The sequence below is a fragment of the Homo sapiens genome, chromosome 1 (genome assembly GCF_000001405.40).
Source record: "Homo sapiens chromosome 1, GRCh38.p14 Primary Assembly".
NCBI classification, from domain to species: domain Eukaryota; kingdom Metazoa; phylum Chordata; class Mammalia; order Primates; family Hominidae; genus Homo; species Homo sapiens.
In genome coordinates this window covers 26828914-26849163 of record NC_000001.11, presented here as the reverse complement: position 1 = coordinate 26849163, position 20250 = coordinate 26828914, and the positions used below count along the sequence as shown (strand labels likewise).

The 20250-nt window shown below is 48.8% G+C and overlaps 1 protein-coding gene across 1 annotated transcript in view, besides 3 other annotated features; it reads right to left on the bottom strand.

Annotated features, from left to right (window-relative positions):
- Positions 1–20250, bottom strand: part of ZDHHC18 (zDHHC palmitoyltransferase 18) — a 30917-nt gene that overhangs the window by 8441 nt on the left and 2226 nt on the right. Inside the window, exons 2-3 of the mRNA NM_032283.3 lie at positions 16557–16717; positions 407–556 (exon numbers count right to left, since the gene is read on the bottom strand). Coding sequence (NP_115659.1) covers positions 407–556; positions 16557–16717 — 311 coding nt within the window. The remainder of the gene's footprint in view (positions 1–406; positions 557–16556; positions 16718–20250) is intronic.
- Positions 9715–10034: an enhancer, noted in NCBI's record as "active region_525". NCBI's record gives its function as "activates an Ori minimal core promoter by ATAC-STARR-seq in GM12878 lymphoblastoid cells {active_cell/tissue: GM12878}" and the evidence as "EXISTENCE:reporter gene assay evidence [ECO:0000049][PMID:35858748]".
- Positions 10195–10464: an enhancer, noted in NCBI's record as "active region_524". NCBI's record gives its function as "activates an Ori minimal core promoter by ATAC-STARR-seq in GM12878 lymphoblastoid cells {active_cell/tissue: GM12878}" and the evidence as "EXISTENCE:reporter gene assay evidence [ECO:0000049][PMID:35858748]".
- Positions 15336–15435: an enhancer, noted in NCBI's record as "active region_523". NCBI's record gives its function as "activates an Ori minimal core promoter by ATAC-STARR-seq in GM12878 lymphoblastoid cells {active_cell/tissue: GM12878}" and the evidence as "EXISTENCE:reporter gene assay evidence [ECO:0000049][PMID:35858748]".

Here is a 20250-nt window from a genome sequence, read left to right as displayed (position 1 = left end):
TTTTTCAGTACAGCTGGCCCTGGGCCACTGGACAGTAACTCATTCTTTCTGGCCCAAACACATCTGGAATGTTATTGTTCCAGTCTGTTTCCTGGGAGCTTGGACCTCTTGAGGACCGGGCTGAAGCCTGGGAGAAGGGTTCAAAGCCTGTCTGTCTGCCCCACACCTCAGAGCTGGGGGAAGGAATCCACCAATCCTGAGCTGAAGCCAAAACACTCCTGGTTATGCTGAGGGCCCCTCCCCTGGGCCCTCCTGAGTCAGGGCAAATCTGGGTGAACCAGACCCCCTGCCCAGCCCTGGGTATTTCAGACCCTGCCCACGCCATCCCCATGCTTGATGCCCCCCATCCCCACGACTCAGTCTCTCTCAGGAATCCCTGCATCCCTCCCTGCTGCCTCCTACTCACCCACACAGTTGTCGCAGACACTGCAGTGTGAGGTTCGGGGTGGCCGGAACATCTTGCAGGTGAAGCAGTACTTCAGCTTCACCATCTGCCCGTTGATCAGCACCTCCCGGGTCCGAGGGGGTGGCCGGTATGTAGAACTGCCTGTGTTGTCTGAGGGAAGGAGGAGAGAAAGATGGGGAATGCCCAAGGCAGCCCAGGGCCCGGATCCCCAGCAGGGGAAAGCTACTGCTGCCTGGCCAGTCCAGGAGAAGCCTCAGGGTAACAGGTTCCCAGGAACAAACATTGGAGTAAAATGTCTGGCCTAAGGCAGGGACAAATATTAGGAACTGCCACCATGTACTGAGACTGCCTCTGTTCATACACCTGCCGGCCTTACCCACTCTAAGAAGGGCTGTCAGAGAAGGAGACTCCCAGAAAGCTTAGTGAGGGTTTTTTTTTTTTTCCTGAGGCAGAGTCTCACTCTGTCGCCCAGGCTGGAGTACAGTGGCGTGAATCTCAGCTCACTGCAACCTCCACCTCGCAGGTTCAAGCGATTCTCATGCCTCAGCCTCCCGAGTAGCTGGGATTACAGGAGTGTGCCACCACGCCCAGCTAATTTTTGTATTTTTAGTAGAGACAGAGTTTCACCACGTTGGCCAGGCTGGTCTGAACTCCTGACCTCAGGTGATCTGCCCACCTTGGCTTCCCAAACAGCCAGGATTATAGGAGTGATGCACCGCGCCCAGCCAGTGAGGTTTATTTGCATCTCATCAAGCCTAGACCTATGTCCCAGTTTACAGGAGGTTCAGGAGATGGAGGAACAAAGTGAGTAACACAATGAGGAAAAAGTCAGATCTAGAATATGAGACATTTACAAGACTGCTGGCCTGATCTCTAACAAAAGTCAATGTCATTTATAAAAAGAGAGAGGAGGTCGGGTGCAGTAGCTCACACCTGTAATCCCAGCACTTTGGGAGGCTGAGGAGTGAGGATCACTTGAGCCCAGGGGGTGAAGGCTGCAGTGAGTCAAGATCACGCCACTGCACTCCAGCCTGGGCAACAAAGCCAGAACCTGTCTTAAAAAAAAAAGAGAGAGAGAGAAAGAGAGGCAGAGAGGAGATGATTCTAAATTAAAAGCGATTTAAGAGACATAAACAAATGCAATACATCATGGATCTTATTTTGAAAAACAAAACAAAACACAGCAACAAAAGACATTTGGAGGGCAACTGTGGAAATCTGACTACAGATTAAAAACTACGAAACAGGCCGAATGCAGTGGCTCATGCCTGTAGTCCCAGCACCTTGGGAGGCCAAGATGGGAGGACTGCTTGAGCCCAGGAGTTCAAGATGAGCCTGGGCAAATAGGAAGACCCTATCTCTATAAAAAATGACAAAAATTAGCCGGGTATGACGGCGTGTGACTATAGTCCCAGCTACTAAGGAGGCTGAGGTGGGAGGATCATTTGAGCCCAGGAGTTCCAGGCTGCAGTGAGCATGAGCCAGGATCACTCCATTGCACTCTAGCCAGGGTGACAGAGCAAGACCCTGTCTCTAAAAACAAACAAAAATTAGGGAACAATTGGCCAGGTGTGGTGGCTCACATCTGTAACCCCAGCACTTTGGGGGGCCGAGGCGGGCGGATCATGAGGTCAGGAGATCGAGACCATCCTGACCAACACGGTGAAACCCCGTCTCTACTAAAAATACAAAAAATTAACCGGTTGTGGTGGCGTGTGCCTGTAGTCCCAGCTACTCGGGAGGCTGAGGCAGGAGAATCGCTTGAACCCGGGAGGCGGAGCTTGCAGTGAGCCGAGATCATGCCACTGCACTCCAGCCTGGGCGACGGTGGGAGACTCTGTCTCGAAAAAAAAAAAAATTAGGAACAATGAATTTTCTTAGGTATGATAATGGAATTGTGATTATGTAGGAGATTATCCTTAGATTTTTAAGACATATGTTGAAATATTTATAGGTAAAGTATCTATGATGTCTATAATTTACTATGAAATAGTTTGAGAAGAACAAACATATATATGCAAATAAGATGCACTATCAACTACTATTCAATCTAGATGGTGAATGTACAGGAATTAGTTGTACTATAATCCTTCCTGCTTTTTCTGTGTGTTTGAAATTTTCATAATAAGAAATTTAAGGCTGGGCATGGTGGCTCACGCCTGTAATCCCAGCACTTTGGGAGGCCGAGGCAGGCGGATCATGAGGTCAGGAGACCATCCTGATTAACACAGTGAAACCCCGTCTCTACTAAAAATACAAAAAAATCAGCCGGGCATGGTGGCGGGCGCCTGTAGTCCCAGCTACTCGGGAGGCTGAGGCAGGAGAATGGCGTCAACCCGGGAGGCAGAGCTTGCAGTGAGCCGAGATTGGGCCACTGCACTCCAGCCTGGGAGACAGAGCGAGACTCTGCCTCAAAAAAAAAAAAAAAAAAAAAAAAAAAAAAAAAATATATATATATATATATATACACACACACACACACACATATATCTCTATAGAGATATATATCTATATATCTCTCTCTCTATATACACATATATATGTATATACGTGTATATATGTATGTATATAGATATATGTGTATATATAGACATATATACATGTATATATATACACACATATATATACACACACATATATATATACACACACACAAAAGAAATTTAAGAGAAAAAAAGGCAGAGATATAGCATATTCATGGATTGGAAGACTGAATATTATGAAAGGATTTATTCTCCCTAATCCACAGATTCAACATAATCCTAGTCAAAAATCCCAGTAGGTTGTTTTTGTGAAAATTGACAAACTCATTCCAAAACTCATATGGAGGTGGCTGGGCATGGTTGCTCATGCCTGTGGTCCCAGCTTCTCAGGAGGCTGAGGCAGGAGGATTGCCTGAGCTCAGGAGTTTGGGGCTGCAGTGAGCCATGATTGTGCCACTGTACTCCAGCCTTTCCAACAGAACAAGACCCTGTCTCAAACAAACAAAAGACACAAAGGGGCTAATCATAAAAGAGCAATTTGATAAACTGCATTATATCAAAATTAAATTTTTTTTTCATTTAAAGGTAATCATTAAGAGAATGAAGAGTTTTTTGGGGCTGGATGATTAAAAAAAAGAATGAGGCCGGGCGCGGTGGCTCAAGCCTGTAATCCCAGCAATTTGGGAGGCTAAGGCAGGCAGATCACCTGAGGTTGGGAGTTCGATACCAGCCTGGCCAACATGGTGAAATCCCATCTTTACTAAAAATACAAAAATTAGCTGGGTGTGGTGGTGGGCGCCTGTAATCCCAGCTACTCAAGAGGCTGAGGCATGAAAATCACTTGAACCAGGGAGGTGGGGGTTACAGTGAGCTGAAATCATGCCACTGCACTCCAGCCTGGGTGACAGAGAGAGACTGTCTCAAAAAAAAAAAAAAAAAAAAAAAAAAAAAAAAGAATGAAGAAGTAACCTTTAGAGCAGGAATGGATAATTACAAGATGTTTACATCTTGTAAACAAAGACAAAGGACTTGTATGAAGAATATGTAAAGGGCTGGGCGCCTTGGCTTAAGCCTGTAATTCCAGCACTTTGGGAGGCCGAGGCAGGTGGATGACCTCAGGTCAAGAGTTCGAGACCAGCCTGGCCAAACTGGTGAAACCTCGTCTATACTAAAAATACAAAAATTAGCCGGGCATGGTGGCGCATGCCTGTAAGTAATCCCAGCTACTTGGGAGGGTGAGGCAGGAGAATCACTTGAACTCAGGAGGCGGAGATTGCAGTGAGCCGAGATTGCGCCACTGCATTCTAGCCTGGGTGACAGAGCAAGACTCCATCTCAAAAAAAAAAAACCAAAAAAAAAAACCATGTAAAGAAATCCTGTAAGTCAGTAAGAAAGTCAGACAACTGAATACAAATACGGACAAAAGACTTAAGTAGGCATCTCATAAAAGAGGCTGTCCAAACAGCCAATAAACACGTGAAAAAGTGCTTATATTCATTAGTCAGCGAGGAAATGCAAATTAAGACCACAATATGCTACTATGACACATGCACTAGAATGGCTAAAATGAAAAAAAATAAAACATACCAAGTGTTGGTAAAAAAGTAGAGCAACTAGAAATCTCATATGACCGCTTTGGACAACTGTTTGGCAACAGCTACCCAAGCTGAACATATGCACGCCCAGAAAACCTGCTCCCAGGCATCTACCCAACAGCAATGTGCATGAGATAATGTGCTCTGAAAGACATGCACAAGGATGTTCACAGCAATAATTCTCATAATAGACAAACTCCAGAACTACCCAAACACCCCAGTAGTAGAATGGATGTTTTTAAAAAGTAGTATATTCACACAGTGGAATTCTATATAGCAATGAGAATCGAACCATCGTCAACTACACACAATAATATTAATGAATCTCATAAACATTGTCTGGCCGGGTGCAGTGGCTTACACCTATAATCCCAGAACTTTGGGAGGCCAAGGCGGGCAGATCACTTGAGGTCAGGAGTTCAAGACCAGCCCGGCCAACATGGTGAAACCCCATCTCTACAAAAATACAAAAATTAGCTGGGCATGGTGGTGTGCACCTGTAATCCCAGCTACTCGGGAGGCTGAGGCAGGAGAATTGCTTGAACCCAGGAGATGGAGGTTGCAGTGAGCTGAAATCACGCCATTGCACTCCAGTCTGGGTGACAGAGCGAGACTCCATCACAAAAAAACAAAACAAAACAAATTGTGTAAAGTGAGGAAGCCAGACATACAGTACAAAATGTTCAAAAATAGGCAAAAGTAATCCATGGTGTTAGAAATTAGGATTGTGTAACCCTTGGAGAGTGACAGTGATTGGAAGGGGGCATGAGGGGGCTCCTGGGATGCCAGTCATATACTGTTTCTTGATCTCAGTGCTGATTACATGTGTACATTCAGTTTGTGAACATTCATCAGACAGAACACTTAAAATTTCTATACCTTTTTTTTTTGAGACGGAATATTGCTCTGTTGCCCAGGCTGGAGTGCAGTGGCATGATGTCGGCTCACTGCAACCTCCGCCTCCCAGGTTCAAGCAATTCTCCTGCCTCAGCCTCCTGAGGAGTTGGGATTACAGGTGTGTGCCACTACGCCCAGATAATTTTTGTATTTTTTTGTAGAGATGGGGTTTCACCATGTTGGCCAGGCTGGTCTCGAACTCCTGATCTGAAGTCATCCACCCACCTCAGCCTCCCAAAGTGCTGGTATTACAGGCATGAACCACCGTACACGGCCACAACTTGTATACTTTTGATAAGCCCATTATACTTCCATAAAAAATAAGAAATAGAGAAAAAAGGAGGCCGGGCACGGTGGCTCACGCCTGTAATCCCAGCACTTTGGGAGGCTGAGACGGGTGGATCACCTTAGGTCAGGAGTTCGAGACCAGCCTGGCCAACCTGGTGAAACCCTCTCTACTAAAAACACAAAAGTTAGCCGGGTGTGGTGGTGCGTGCCTATAATTCCAGCTACTCGGGAGGCTGAGAAAGGAGAATTGCTTGAACTCGGGAGGTGGAGGTTGCAGTGAGCTGAACAGTCGCCATTGCATTCCAGCCTGGGTGATAAGAACGAAACTCCGTCTCAAAAAAAGAAAAAAAAAAAAAAGAAAGAAAGAAAAAAGGAAAGACTTAAGTAAGTTATTTAGGTCCTGCCCTGGTATATCGGCAGAGCAGGACTCTAACCTAGGTGTGTCATATGCAAAGCCCAAAACTTCACCCATTGAGCCTCTGGGTACCCCAGGGCACAGAGAACCTGAACAGTGGCTCCTTCCAGAAAGAAGTCTGAGTCTCCTGGGGCAGCCTATACCCCCAGCCCTCCACCATGCACCCTGCCATTGCTTCCATTGCATTGTTTGCCAGATAATGTCTCCAGTTTGGCCACTGGCCTCCAATGATTATTTACTGAGTGCCTACCAATGTGCCAGGCACGATTCTAGGCACTTGGCATATATCAGTGAAGCAAACATGCTTCAGTCTCACATTTTCAACTACCAAAGGTTTACTTTGTTAGGTTGTTTCATCACCACCTTGACTACAGCATGTTTAAAATGGAACTAAGCATCTGAGCATTTCTTCCCTAAAATGGGCAGCATGAAGAAGGGTGGGGGATTTAGAGGCCAATGGCCACACTCTGAACCCTGGTTTTGTCATTGACTGGTTGTGTGTAAGGCTGAAGTCAAATGAACTTCTCTGAGCCTCAGTTTTCTCATGTGTAAAACAGGAATAACAGGTAGAATAGCTAATGAATCTAGTTCCACTCCACTTCTGCCCAGCTGGGTTTCTCCTGATGATATCATTTGCTAAAAAATCATATAAGCTCTTTGTGCCTCAGTTTCTCTAATCACTGAAATAGAAACGATAGTAACTCACCTTCATAGGGTTGTTGTGAGAGTTAAATGAATCAATATATGTGAAATGGCACAAAGCAAATGGTTAGCAAGTGTGAGCTATTATTATTAACTCACAGGGCCAAGCATAGTGGCTCATGCCTGTAATCCCAGCACTTTGGGAGGCTGAGGCAGGAAGATTGCTTGAAGCCAAGAGTTTGAGACCTGCCTGGGCAATAAAGGCGGACCCTGTCTCTCTCTCTCTCTTTTTTTTTTTTTTTTTGAGATGGAGTCTCGCTCTGTTGCCCAGGCTGGAGTGCAGTGGCGCGATCTTGGCTCACTGCAACCTCCACCTTGCAGGTCAAAGCAATTCTCTGCCTCAGCCTCCTGGGTAGCTGGGATTACAGGTGCCCGCAACCATGCCTGGCTAATTTTTTGTATTGTTAGTAGAGACAGGGTTTCACTATGTTGGCCAGGCTGGTCTTGAACTCCTGACCTCATGATCCACCCACCTTGGCCTCCCAAAGTGCTGGGATTACAGGCGTGAGCCACCGCGCCTGGCCACCTCAGTTTCTTTATCTGTAAAATAGAGATGGGTCAAGTCATACCTTCATAGGATTGTGGTGAGGGCTGAATGAGATGCTTCCACAGCCCTGAGCACAGTGCTAGCCTCCCAGGAGCCACTGACATTGCTCCTGACCAACTGTTCATGCCATGACCCTCCAGGATGCAGAACCCCCAGCAGCAGCTCTTTCCAAAGCTGGTGATACTACTCCAAACCAAACCCCTAATCCTGTCCCACAGGCCCCAGAGTCCCAGCTTTTGGCTCCCCACTCACTGCTTCCTTGCTGACTTGGACATAGGCTTTGGAGCCAGAAACACATGTAGGTATAAATCTCACTCCAATCACTTACTGGCTGAGTGAGGTGGGTCAAATCACTCAACTTCTCTGTGCCATCATCTGCTAAATAAATAAAATGGAAGGCCAAGCATAGTGGCTCATGCCTGTAATCCCAGCACGTTGGGAGGCTGAAGCAGGAGGATTGCTTGAGGCCAGGAGTTTGAGATCAGCCTGGGTAACATAGTGTGAGACCCCATCTCTATAAAAATAATAATTTTTAAAAATTAGCTGGATGTGGGCTGGGCGTGGTGGCTTACACCTGTAATCCCAACATTTTGGGAGGCCAAGGCAGGTGGATCACCTGTCTGAGGTCAGGAGTTCGAGACCAGCCTTAAACATGGTGAAACCCCATTTCTACTAAAAATACAAAAATTAGCCAGGTGTGGTGGTGTGCACCTGTAATCCCAGCTACTCGGGAGGCTGAGGCAAGAGAATCACTTGAACCCGGGAGGCAGAGGTTGCAGTGAGCTGAGATCACGCCACTGCACTCCAGCCTGGGTGCCAAGAGCAAAACTCTGTCCCCCCCTCCCCCCAAAAAATTAGCTGTATGTGGCATGAACCTGCAATTCTAGCTACACGGGAGACTGAGGCAGGAAGTCAAGGTGGTAATGAAACAACCTAACAAGAGAGATAACTACTACAGTTGAAGGGAAAGTTGAAGGGAAAGTTTAGGAGTTCAAGGTTGCAGTGAGGTATGACTGTGCCACTGCATTCCAGCCTGGGTGACAGAGCGAGGCTGTGTCTCTAAAAAATATTTAAAAGTTAAAATAAATAGGCTGGACATGATGGCTCACGCCTGTAATCCCTGCACTTTGGGAGGCCGAGGCAGGCGGATCACCTGAGGTCAGGAGTTCAAGACCAGCCTGGCCAACACACTGAAACCCCATCTCTACTAAAAATACAAAAATTAGCCGGGCATGGTGGCGCATGCCTGTAATCCCAGCTACTCGGGAGGCTGAGGCAGGAAGAATCGCTTGAACCCAGGAGGTGGAAGTTGAAGTGATCCGAAATCGCGCCACTGCACTCCAGCCTGGGTGACAGAGCAAGGCTGTCTCAAAAAAATAAAATAAAATGGAACATCATTGAGTCCATCTCAGGGGGCTGCTGGAAGGATTAGGTGAGAATTCACCAAGTGGCTTTAGCAAAGTGGCTAACGCTTGACAAGGGCTTAACAAATATCAGCCATTATTATGACTTTTGTTTCCACAAAACATTGCATTCCAAACAAACAATGGAGTTATGAAGAAAACTTCAGAACACAGCCCATCTGTGAATGAAGGACAGCCACAGACCCTCTCCAGCACTGACAGAAGTTACTGGAATCCTCAGTGGAATCCCACAGGTCTTCCTCAGGGGAGAGGGGAACCCAAGCCTCTCCCCAGGACAGGGAGGGAACTGCTAAGCATGTTCTGGTCTCCAGCAGCCAGGCTTCTTTCTCTCCAGCACTCTGCAGAAGAGCAAATGAAGCTCTGTACCCCGGCTTCCTGAGGCTGCCAGGAGCCAGGGGAGGCAGAGCGCTGTGTCATGCTGGAGCAAGAGTCCACCTGGTGCTAAATCAAAGTCGCCAGAGTTGGGACAAAGGAGGCTCTGCAGGGGCTGCACCCTTCATGGGGGAAGACAAGCAGCTCTCCCATTGCTGATTCTCAGACCGGACAGTGCTGACCCATCACCGCCCCAAACTCAGCCTCAGAATCCTCCTCAACCTGCTCCTCCTGGCAGCCACTACCGATGGCAGCTTGTTAGCACCTGGAGCAAGTCCACTCTCCATTCCTGACCAAAAGACTCAAGTCTCTTCAGTTTCAATAGAGAAAAGTGACTTACAAAGTGTGCTGACATTCCTAGTCTCACTCAATCACAGAGACTGCTCTGGGCTAGGCAAGGGGATCCGTGCCTGTGAGTTACAGATGGGAAAGCAAGTTCACTCCAATAATAGAAGGTGGGGCTGAAACTAGGACCCTTGTCTTCCAGGGCACTCATTTGTTCACTCTTTCACACATGAGCACCTACTATGTGCAAGTTACTGTACAAGGCCTGGGGGTGGCAGGGAAGGTAAGGGGCAAATTCATAGAAATGAGTCAAAGATATTGGTTTTGTTCACCCTGTGCCTGCCTGACATACTGTGGATGTTCAAAAAATATTTGTTGTAGAAAAGAAGAAAGAAGGGAGTGATGGTAAGTGATGCTATCCCTGCCCTCAGGGAATCTAAGATCTACTCCAGGGCTGTTTCTGCTATGCCAGGCTCTTCCCAAGTAAAAAGGTGCCCTTATGCCAGCAAGGCCCTCCTGCTGCCTTCCAGGCAGAAACCAAAGCTCTGAGGATGTGAAAATGAGACGAAAAGCAAGGCTACTCGTCACTGAATGGCTGTGAGGGCAAAGGAATTTCCCCACCCTAAGACAGCTCTCGGAGAGGAGCAGGCAGGCCTTCTGCGGTCAGAGCCTGAAAGGCTGGGGCTGTGGAAGTTCCCCAGGGCTGGCTGCGGGCTGCTGAGAAGGCCCTGACTGCCCTCTGCCCTTCCACTGTTGTCACCTGCAGAGGAAACAGCTGCAGGACTGCAGTCTCCCCGCCTCTAAGGCCAGCTCAAGGTCAGCCACAGCTCCCAGGCCTCGAGTGCTAGGTCACCATAACCCTCCCAGACCACTTCTGTCCATCTCTGGGGTTCATGGGGCCTTCACCACATACCAGGCTTAGTGCTAGGCCTGTGGATACAGGAAGAGCCCGCCTGAGGGCAGAGTCAGACAGAAGTGGATAATTAAGAGTCCTCCTACAAGGCAGTGCCTCTGTGTGGTGACTCTGGGCCTGCCTAATCTTATTTTGAACCCTGGCATGGCCAATTGTTAGCCTGTAAACTTAAGAAGCTGATCAATCTCTAAGCCTCACTTTCCTCACCTGTAGAATGGGTAATGATGACATCAACCTTGTAAAATTTTACACAAATCAGAAATAACATAATATCAAGATCTGACCTAAATAGCTATTCAATTAATGACATTACTGGTGCCTATACTCAATGCCTCAAGAACACAGAGGGAAATATGTGGGGTGGAGGCAGGAAGCAGCATTCAAGAAAGCAACAGGCCGAGTGCAGTGGCTCGTGACTGTAATCCCAACACTTTGGGAGGGTAAGGCTGGAGGACTGCTTGAGTCCAGGAGTTTGAGAGATCAGCCTGGGCAACACAGCAAGACCCTGTTTCTACAAAAAATAATTTAAAAAGAAAGCAAGGGGCCAGGCACAGTGGCTCACACCTGTAATTCCAGCACTTTGGGAGGCTGAGGCGGGCGGATCACCGGAGGTCGGGAGTTTGAGATCAGCCTGACCAACATGGAGAAACTCCATCTCTACTAAAAATACAAAATTAGGGTGCATGGTGGTGCATGCCCATAATCCCAGCTACTCGGGAGGCTGAGGCAGGAGAATCGCTTGAACCCGAGAGGCAGAGGTTGTGGTGAGCCGAGATCTCACCACTGCACTCCAGCCTGGGCAACAAGAGCAAAACCCTGTCTTAAAAAAAAAAAAAAGCAAGCAACAAAAGAAGTAACAGCAAAGCTGGATCAGAAAGAATGAGCACTCTGGCTCACCACGGCAGGCGGGGACAGCACAAGCACAAGCAAACGCACTGAGGCATCCAGTGCACAGCGTGGCTGGGGGTGCCAGGGACCAGTAGGAGAAGAGCAGTGGCTGGGGTAGACTGCAGCTTGCCTTAATCTCATGAGTGAGTTTTCAAGAAGATAGAAGAGGGGCTGGGCACGGTGGATCATGCCTGTAATCCCAGCACTTTGGGAGGCTGAGGCAGGTGGATCACCTGAGGTCAGAAGTTCAAGACCAGCCTGGCCAACATGGTGAAACCCCATCTCTACTAAAGATACAAAAATTAGCCAGGCATGGTGGTGCATGCCTGTAATCGCAGCTACTTGGGAGGCTGAGGCAGGAGAGTCACTTGAACCCAGGAGGTGGAGGCTGCAGTAAGCTGAGATCACACCATTGCACTCCAGCCTGGGTGACAGAGCGAGACTCTGTCTCAAAAAATAAATAAATAAATAAATAAATAAATAAATAATATACATAATATATTAAATATGTTAAATATATTATACATATTAAATATATGTTAAATACATATTATGCATATTAAATATAGATGTAAAATGTATATTATACATATTAAATATGTTAAATATATTATACATATTAAATATGTTATATATTATACATATGTAGTAAATATATAAATGTATATTTTATATATATATATATATATTTTTTTTGAGACAGAGTCTCACTCTGTCGCCCAGGCTGGAGTGCAGTGGCGCCATCTCGGCTCACTGCAAGCTCCGCCTCCCAGGTTCACACCATTCTCCTGCCTCAGCCTCCCGAGTAGCTGGGACTACAGGTGGCCGCCACCACACCCAGCTAATTTTTTTTGTATTTTTTTTAGTAGAGATGGGGCTTCACCTTGTTAGCCAGGATGGTCTCGATCTCCTGACCTTGTGATCCACCTGCTTCGGCCTCCCAATGTGCTGGGATTACAGGCATGAGCCACTGCGCCCAGCTGCATTTAATATATATTTAATGTATATGAAATATATATATTATACATATATATTTAAAGATGAGCCATTTAGGAGGAAAATACTAAAGAAATGAAGGTACAGCCAGATGCGGTGGCTCATGCCTGTAATCCCAGCACTTTGGGAGGCTGAGACGGGCGGATCACAAGGTCAGGAGATCGAGACCATCCTGGCTAACACAGTGAAACCCCGTCTCTACTAAAAATACGAAAAATTAGCTGGGCGTGGTAGCAGGTGCCTGTAGTCCCAGCTACTCGGGAGGCTGAGGCAGGAGAATGGCATGAACCTGGGAGGCAGAGGTTGCAGTGAGCTGAGATTGTGCCACTGCACTCCAGCCTGGGCAACGGAGCAAGACTCCGTCTCAAAAAAAAAAAAAAGAAAAAAAGAAAAAAAAAGAAATGAAGGTACAAGGCGGGATGCAGAAGGAAAAATCACAAAGGCTGGACTCATATCACTGATATGCTGAGGGCACCAGAGAGTCACCCAAATTCTGTGGGGTTTGTGGGGGGACAGGGCAGGGGTGGGGAGAACAAATTTGGGATCTTGGAGAGATAACTACAATTGAAGGGAAAGGCCCAGTCAGGGCCTGTTCTGCAGAGCCCTGAGCCAGTTCAGGTGGAACACGAGGCAGGTCTGTCCAGGGGAAGTGGGCAGAGACGTCCTGGAGACAAAGGAGATGGGGTCTGGGAGCTGGTGTATGGCAGTGGAGAGAGACGCAGCCTCTGTGTCCGTCATGTGAACTGTAACAGGGTCTAAGTGAGCATCTGTCACTTGGATTTGGATGTCTCTATCACCTCCCATCAGACCAGGAGCTTCTGGGAGCAATATTGCTCTTCCCAACTGCCTAGAGCCTGCAGGGTGAGCCAGCTGCACAGCCCACCAGCCGGCAAGACAGGATCTCAGATGAGGGTGACCGAGTGCCCTGATTTTCCTGGGATTGAGTGGTTTCCTAAGACAGGAGACTTTCCAGGTGGTCCTGGGTAAACTGGGAGGAGCTGGTCACTCTACCTCAGACTGTCCCCACAGGGCAGGAGCCCTGGGCCAGACCTGTTGGGCTGGAGTTGCTGGGCTGGGGTGCCAAAGGGAAAAGCCCACACTGTCTACATGAGCCTAGGACCAGGTAATCAGTTCATGCTCACATGAACAGCACCACCTGCCTCAGAGACAGCTCCCAACCTTCTGGAAAAGGTTCAGTGATCTTAGTCCTGATCATTTTCGGGGAAATATGTTTTTGGTTTTTTTTGTTTTTTGAGACGGAGTCTTGCTCTGTCACCAGGCTGGAGTGCAATGGCGCAACCTTGGCTCACTGCAACCTCCGACTCCCTGGTTCAAGCGATTATTCTGCCTCAGCCTCCTGAGTAGCTGGGATTACAGGCACACGCCACCATGCCCAGCTAATTTTTGTATTTTTACTAGAGACAGGGTTTCACCATGTTGGCCAGGATGGTCTCAATCTCCTGACCTTGTGATCCGCCCGCCTCGGCCTCCCAAAGTGCTGGGATTACAGGCGTGAGCCACTGTGCCAGCCCTGGGAAATATGTTTTACTTTAATTAGTTAGAAGTCTCCTGGTCACACCCAAAAATTTGGCTTCTATTCAAGTTTGAGAATTCAAAGGCCTCCAAAATGCCACTTTTGCACTTTGCACCTGTTCGCCAAGAAAAGTCTTAGGGACATTCAGCGCCCTACAAGATTGATTCCACCCCATCCTTCCAACTGGAATATCTCTAATATCCCTAACTATCTGAAGTGCTCCTCATATTCTAGCCAACGTGGCCTGCTCAGTGGCCCGTTCCCATCCCTCCTCCTTCCCTCTGCCACTCTCTCTTCCCTCAGCTTTGTCTGCCTGAAGGGCTGCCTCCGCACAGCTCCTGTGCTTGAATTCCACCCAAACTTAAAGACTTAGCTCAAGCATCACTTCTCCAGGAAGCTTCTCCAGTCCCCCAGGCAGAAGATGCTCCTGACTCCTCTGACCCTCTTCTAAAGCCTGATCTCACTGGCAGTGGCTGGTCAGGGCTCCCACCTGGGGCCAACTTGTCTGGAACCCATGAGAGTAAGCTCCTATCAGATTCATTGTTGGCCCCCACCTGCCTTCACTCTGCTGTCAGGGGTCAGCATATAGAATTAACACACAAATGAACAAACCCATGATGCCCAACTGGGAGATGTCCTGACTGTTTCCTCACCTGTCACCCTGACAGAGCAAGGAGGGCCTTCACAGAAGCTCACCTATTCTTCAGTCATTCATTTACTCATTTAGCCAACGTCACTGAGCCTTCTACATGGCGACAAGGTGAACAAGATGCTGGAATTCCATGCCCTCACAGGCCAGCAGAAAGGATGATTTTGTAATGACCACCGTTGCAGCACAGGTTCAGAGAAGGAAGGAGAAGGTGCTCTGGGAATGTGCAATGGAAGGCCTGGCCCAACTGGGGTCAAGAAGGCTTCCCAGAGCACAGGAAACAAGTGGAGAAGAGGATGAAGGAGATGTGTCCCTGCTGCCATCTCAGAAGAGAAAGCAAGGGGTTTGGGAGTGAAAGGCACACACTCTGTCTCTGCTTCTTTATCCTGGCCCTGTGATCACCTGCCTCCGTTTCTCCATCAGTACAATTGGTTAACAGGGTCGCCCTCACTGGGCTGTTGTGAAGATTTGTGGGGATAATAGATGGAAAGCACTCAGCACACGGCCAAGCTCTTTCCAAGAAGGGGATTACTGCTGTCACTGTGATCCACGCAGCTCACAGGAGGCCGAGGATTCCAGGCAGCCAGACCTCTGGGTCCGGCTGAGCTGGACAATAATCCTGCCTCATGATTAGCCCTGACCAGAAGGGGAGGAAGAACGGGGCACAGCTGGGCCTCCCCAGCTGCCAGGTGGGCCAGCCCAGGTCAGACCGTGGGATCCTGAAGGAGTGGCCAGGGACCCAGAGTTTGAAGGGGTAGGACGCTGGATGTAGGTGAGAGGAGGTGGCCCTCGCAGGCGTGGCTGAGGATGGGGCTGGGCAGAGGAATGAGACAAAGAGCAGACAGAGCCCAGAGAACATCCTCTCCAGCTGCTCGCCCTCCCTCCCTCCCTGCTGCACAGAGTATTAGTGAAATGATTTCTAGCGATGGATGCAGCAGGGCTCTGACATTTACAGGCCACTAGATGTCTTCAGGGCCAGCTGGGTGTTTAAAAGCCTGTGTGAACACCATGCTGTTAGGGGAAGGAGCTAACCACGGACCGGAAACCCCCGAGGTGTGCAAGTAGCCACGTCACTTCTCAGCAGGAAGAGCTGGGGTGCAGCAAGCTGAGATTAGGGACCTGGCCCAGTACCCCGCCACCCCGGAACCCACACAGCAGTCTGAAAGGAATCAAGGGCCACCTGGGCTGCCTGGGAGCACAGGGTCTTTCCAGCCACTGCCGTTCCTCACACACGCCCAGGCTGTTTGCCACTCTGGGCTTTGGCCTTACTTTTCCCAGATCCCCGTATTTCTACCACACTCATCTCCAGTGCCGCCTCCTCCTAGAGGTCTCCCCTGACCACCTGACCTAAACTAGCCCACTCCCCAACACCTACTGGGCTCTTCCCTAGATAACCCCACCGTCAAGCCCTCATCTGTTCAGGCCGGTGCTTCTTTGCTCAGATGTCACCTCCTTCACAAGATGTTCCCTGGCCACCCTATGTAAAATCACACACCCTCCCTGTAGCCTTCATCCTCCTTCCCTCCTTTCTTCTCTGTCTGATATCCTAGATATTTAATTATTTGTTATTTATTGTCTCTTTCCTCCTCCTCAACTGTCAAGCTCCATGAGGACAGGGACTATTGTCAGTTTTGTTCACTGCTGTATCACATCTAGAAAAGTGCCTGGCACATAGTAGGGGGTCAATAAATGTTTGATGAGTGAATGAATAAGTGTATATGAATGTTTAAGAGCAGGTGCTCTAGACTGAGGTCTCATCTCAGCTCTTCTACTTACTTTGTGATCTTGGACCCTCTTTTGCCTTGATTTAATTAATCAGTAAAAGGAGAATGACAACAGTACCTACCTCATAGGATTACTGGGGGATTAAATAAGATCATGCATATAAAGAGCTTAAAACAGTGCCTAGCCCCCAGGAACTACTCAGCTCCACGCTGGCTGCCATCGGGGCCTTTGCTGGCTGGCCAGCATTTCTTGCTTACTTATTTGCTCACTTGTTGATCATCTGTCTCCCTCTGTGCCAGTGTCAGCTCCAGCCTGCCTTGCTCACGACTGCATCCCCAGTTCCTAGTATAGTTTTGGAAGAGAAAACCAGGCCTCCTCCCAAGTCAGGGAATGTGGAGCTATGGAGACCCAGCTTCAGCTGGGAGTAGAAACCTCACCGATCTGTTTCTCCAGGGCGGCTGCTTCACAGACAGTGGCCCGGGGCAGGATCCCAGGGTCGGTGAAGCTTGTCTGCAGCAGGCAGCTCATGACGAAGAAGAAGAGGATGGCAGCGATGATGGGGATGGCAAGGGTCAGCTTGCGAGCCAGGTAGGGACAGCTAGAACGAGAGATGGAGAGAGATCAGCAGACACCCCAAGGGCTCCCTGCGGCACAGGGCTACAGCACGTGGCAGGCGCTGTCATTCCAACAACCACCACCAAAATCTTGAATACAGCCTCGCTCTGAGGCAGAGGCACAGCTCCTTGATGAGTGCAGCCACTCCCCAATAAGTACCGGGAACAGACATCACTAATTGATCCTTGTGATATACTTTCCTCCAGAGCACATGGCAGATGTGTCCAATAGATCCCAGCACTCCTAACCTCTGCATCCAGAGAATCCCTCTACACACAGAGCTTCAGGCAGACACTAGTGGACTGTCACCTGAGACAAACCATCCTGCAGTGTTCATTCACTCATTCATTCACTCACTCAGTCCACAAATATTTACTGAGGTCTTCTCTGTGGCAGGCAACACCTTCAATAAGCAGCAGGAATAATGACGACGGATAAGACAAGAGTCCCTCCCCCTTGTGGCTTATGGTCTAGTGGGGAAAACAAGACATGTAAACAGGGAATTGCCACACAGGGTGATGTGTGCTCTAGTGGGGGAGGGGAACGCAGTAGCACAGTCAGGAAAGGCAACCTGAAGGAGACAATCCTAAGCTCCAACCTGAAGAATGAGTAGAGGGCTGGGGGAACTGCATGGTCCAGCCACTGTCACTGTGACCCAAGGTAGGCAGGTATCCCCAAGGCAGTGCTTTCAGACCCCCTGACCCTGGCTGCCTCAGAGAATAGCCTGTGCCTGCTGAATGGTCATGCCTCTGTCCCCCAGGGAGGCTGCCTACCACAGCCCTCTTCAAGCTCCCTCCTCCATCTTAGGGCTAGAACATTCTAGAAGTTCTGGACACTGGTGGGAGAATGGCTTCATGATAGTGAAGCTATCAGGGCTCTCTCTCTATGGCCAATCCTCTCTGTTGTCACCTCACTGTCCACCCAGAAGCCAGAGCCACTTTTGGAAATGTCAATCAGATCATGTCATTTCCCTGCTTAAAACCTCCCAATTGCTTTCCATATAGTTTGAATACAATCCAAACTCCCTACCATGGCCTTCTAGGCCAGGCATGATCTGGGCCCTACTGAGGACTTCAGCCTCATTCTACAAAACTCTCGTCTTGCTCCTGCTCCTCCCATCACAATAGCCCATGACAGTTCCTATAACAAGCCTGGCTCTCTCCTACCTCAGGGCCTTTGCACTTGCTGTTCCTTTTCTCAGATTCCTCTTCCCTCCTCAGAAGGACCTACCTTGACAACTCTGTACACAGTGAACTTCAATGCTCTTTCTTTCCTGTATAACATTTAGTATAGATTTCAGCTACTTGTCTATGTGATGGCTATTTTTCTCTCACTAAAACATAAGCTTGGCCAGGCGCAGTGGCTCACGCCTGCAATCCCAGCACTTTGGGAGGCTGAGGTGGGCGGATACCTGAGGTCAGGAGTTCGAGACCAGCCTGACCAATAAGATGAAACCCCATCTCTAATAAAAACAGAAAAATTAGCAGGGTGTGGTAGCATGTGCCTGTAATCCCAGCTACTCAGGAGGCTGAGACAGGAGAATCACTTGAACCCGGGAGGCAGAGGTTGCAGTGAGCCGAGATCGTGCCATTGCACTCCAGCCTAGGCAACAAGAGCAAAACTCTATCTCAACAACAACAACAACAACAACAACAACAAACAAACATAAAAAAACATAAGCTCCTCTGTGGGTATAGACTATGTTCTCTTGTTCAGCTTTATATTTCCAGCACACTGCACAGCACCTGGCACCAAGGACGTACCCGGTAAATAACTGCTGCCAGGGGACAGAAAAATAGCTACCATCTTTTGAAGGCTTACTATGTGCCAGACACTGCCCTAATTAATAAACTACTGTTAGCAACATCCAAAGTACAGATAGTTACTGTGCTATGTACAGATAGTTACTGTACTATGTAGATAGTTACTGTACTATCTACAGATAGTTACTGTACTACTGTACCTGGATGGGCCAGGTACCAGGCTAAGCAGTTCCTGTGTACTTTCTCATCAAATCCTCACTGGGACCCTGTGAAGTTATGCTCCCCACTTTACAGATGAAGAAACTAGAGCTCAGAGAGTTTAAGTAATCTGCCCAAGGTCACATGGCTCAGGAGTGCTAAAGTGGGACCCAAGCCAGGTCTGACTTTGAGGTTCATACTTTTAACCATCACCCCATAGCCAGAGTAGCACCTGATCAGGTAAGGAGATGACGGGGCCCTGGGAGGCCTGAGATCAACCAAGCTTCCAGGAGTGGCACAGTAGGCACACACCTGTGGGCACCTGCATGCTGCTTCTGAAGTCTCCGTCATCAGATGCTCTGGCCTTCAGAGAAGCCCTTCCCCTGAGGAGCAGACTGCCAAGGCCAAGGGCTCCCAGTGGGTCACACTCTGCTCCATACATCTCAATGGTTTCTGGGTCTGACCCTCAAACAGAACCAGTGGGCGCTCAGTGTCACCCACATGGCAATGAATCCAGTTCATATGCAATCAGACTTGTGTGGGGGGACAGAGAAGACTTGAAATCTAAGACTTGTAGAGCCTGCAGGAACCACCAAGTCCTAGCCTCCTGATTTGCCAGAGGCTAACAGCTCTCCCAGGCCCACAGCTAGGTTCAAGGTCATCTAGCCAGCCAATGACAGAACTAGGGTTTCCAGCCTCCCAGCAAATACACTGTCAATTAATTCAAATACACTGTCAATTCATTCATTCAATAAGTATTGAGCACCTACTGCATACCAGGTGCGAGTTCTAGGCACTAAGGGTGCAACAGAGGAGAATGTCCTGCTCTCATGGGCAAAGACCAGAAACTAACAAGTATACCATAATATGTCAGGTGGTGGCAAATGCTTCAGAGAGCGATAAATGAGGGGAGAAGAGAGGTGCAGGAGGGGAGTGGTTTGCTATGCTGTGCGGATGGACAGGGGAGGCCTAATGTGAGAGAGTGAGCCATGAGGCCACCTGCAGGAAGGGGATTCCAAGCACTGGCCCAGAGGTAGGAGTGTGCACGGAGGATGACATGCCTGGAGGGAAGACGGGGACAGAAGACAGCAGGGGACAGAGGCCAGGGAGGATTCAGGCCTGAGTTAGAATCAAAAGGGCACTCTGGCTGTTGTGTGGGGGCGAGAAGTAAGGCAGAAGTTGGGAGCCCTGCTGGAGGCCTGTGCAACAATCCACCAAGCCAAACAAAGAAGCAAAGCCATTCATAGCAGGAAAGGCTTAGAGAGCACCTTACCTTTTCCCAGAGCAATGGGGAGCATCCAGTCCAGACCCAGGTGAGCTCTCGGCCCAAACCCAAACTCTTCTGCCAATCTACCAGCCCCCAATGAGGACAAGCGGGGACAAACTGCAACATGGTTCACGAGCTCTCCCCAAACCCAGAAGTCCTTGCTTTCTCCCTCGCTGGGGACAAAACAGTCACCAGTGAAGATACCCGGTCAACCCAGAGAAGGTCCTGCTTCTAGTTCAGAAGTTAGGCCAGATATCACACTGCAGGGTCATGTGGGTCAACCACGGC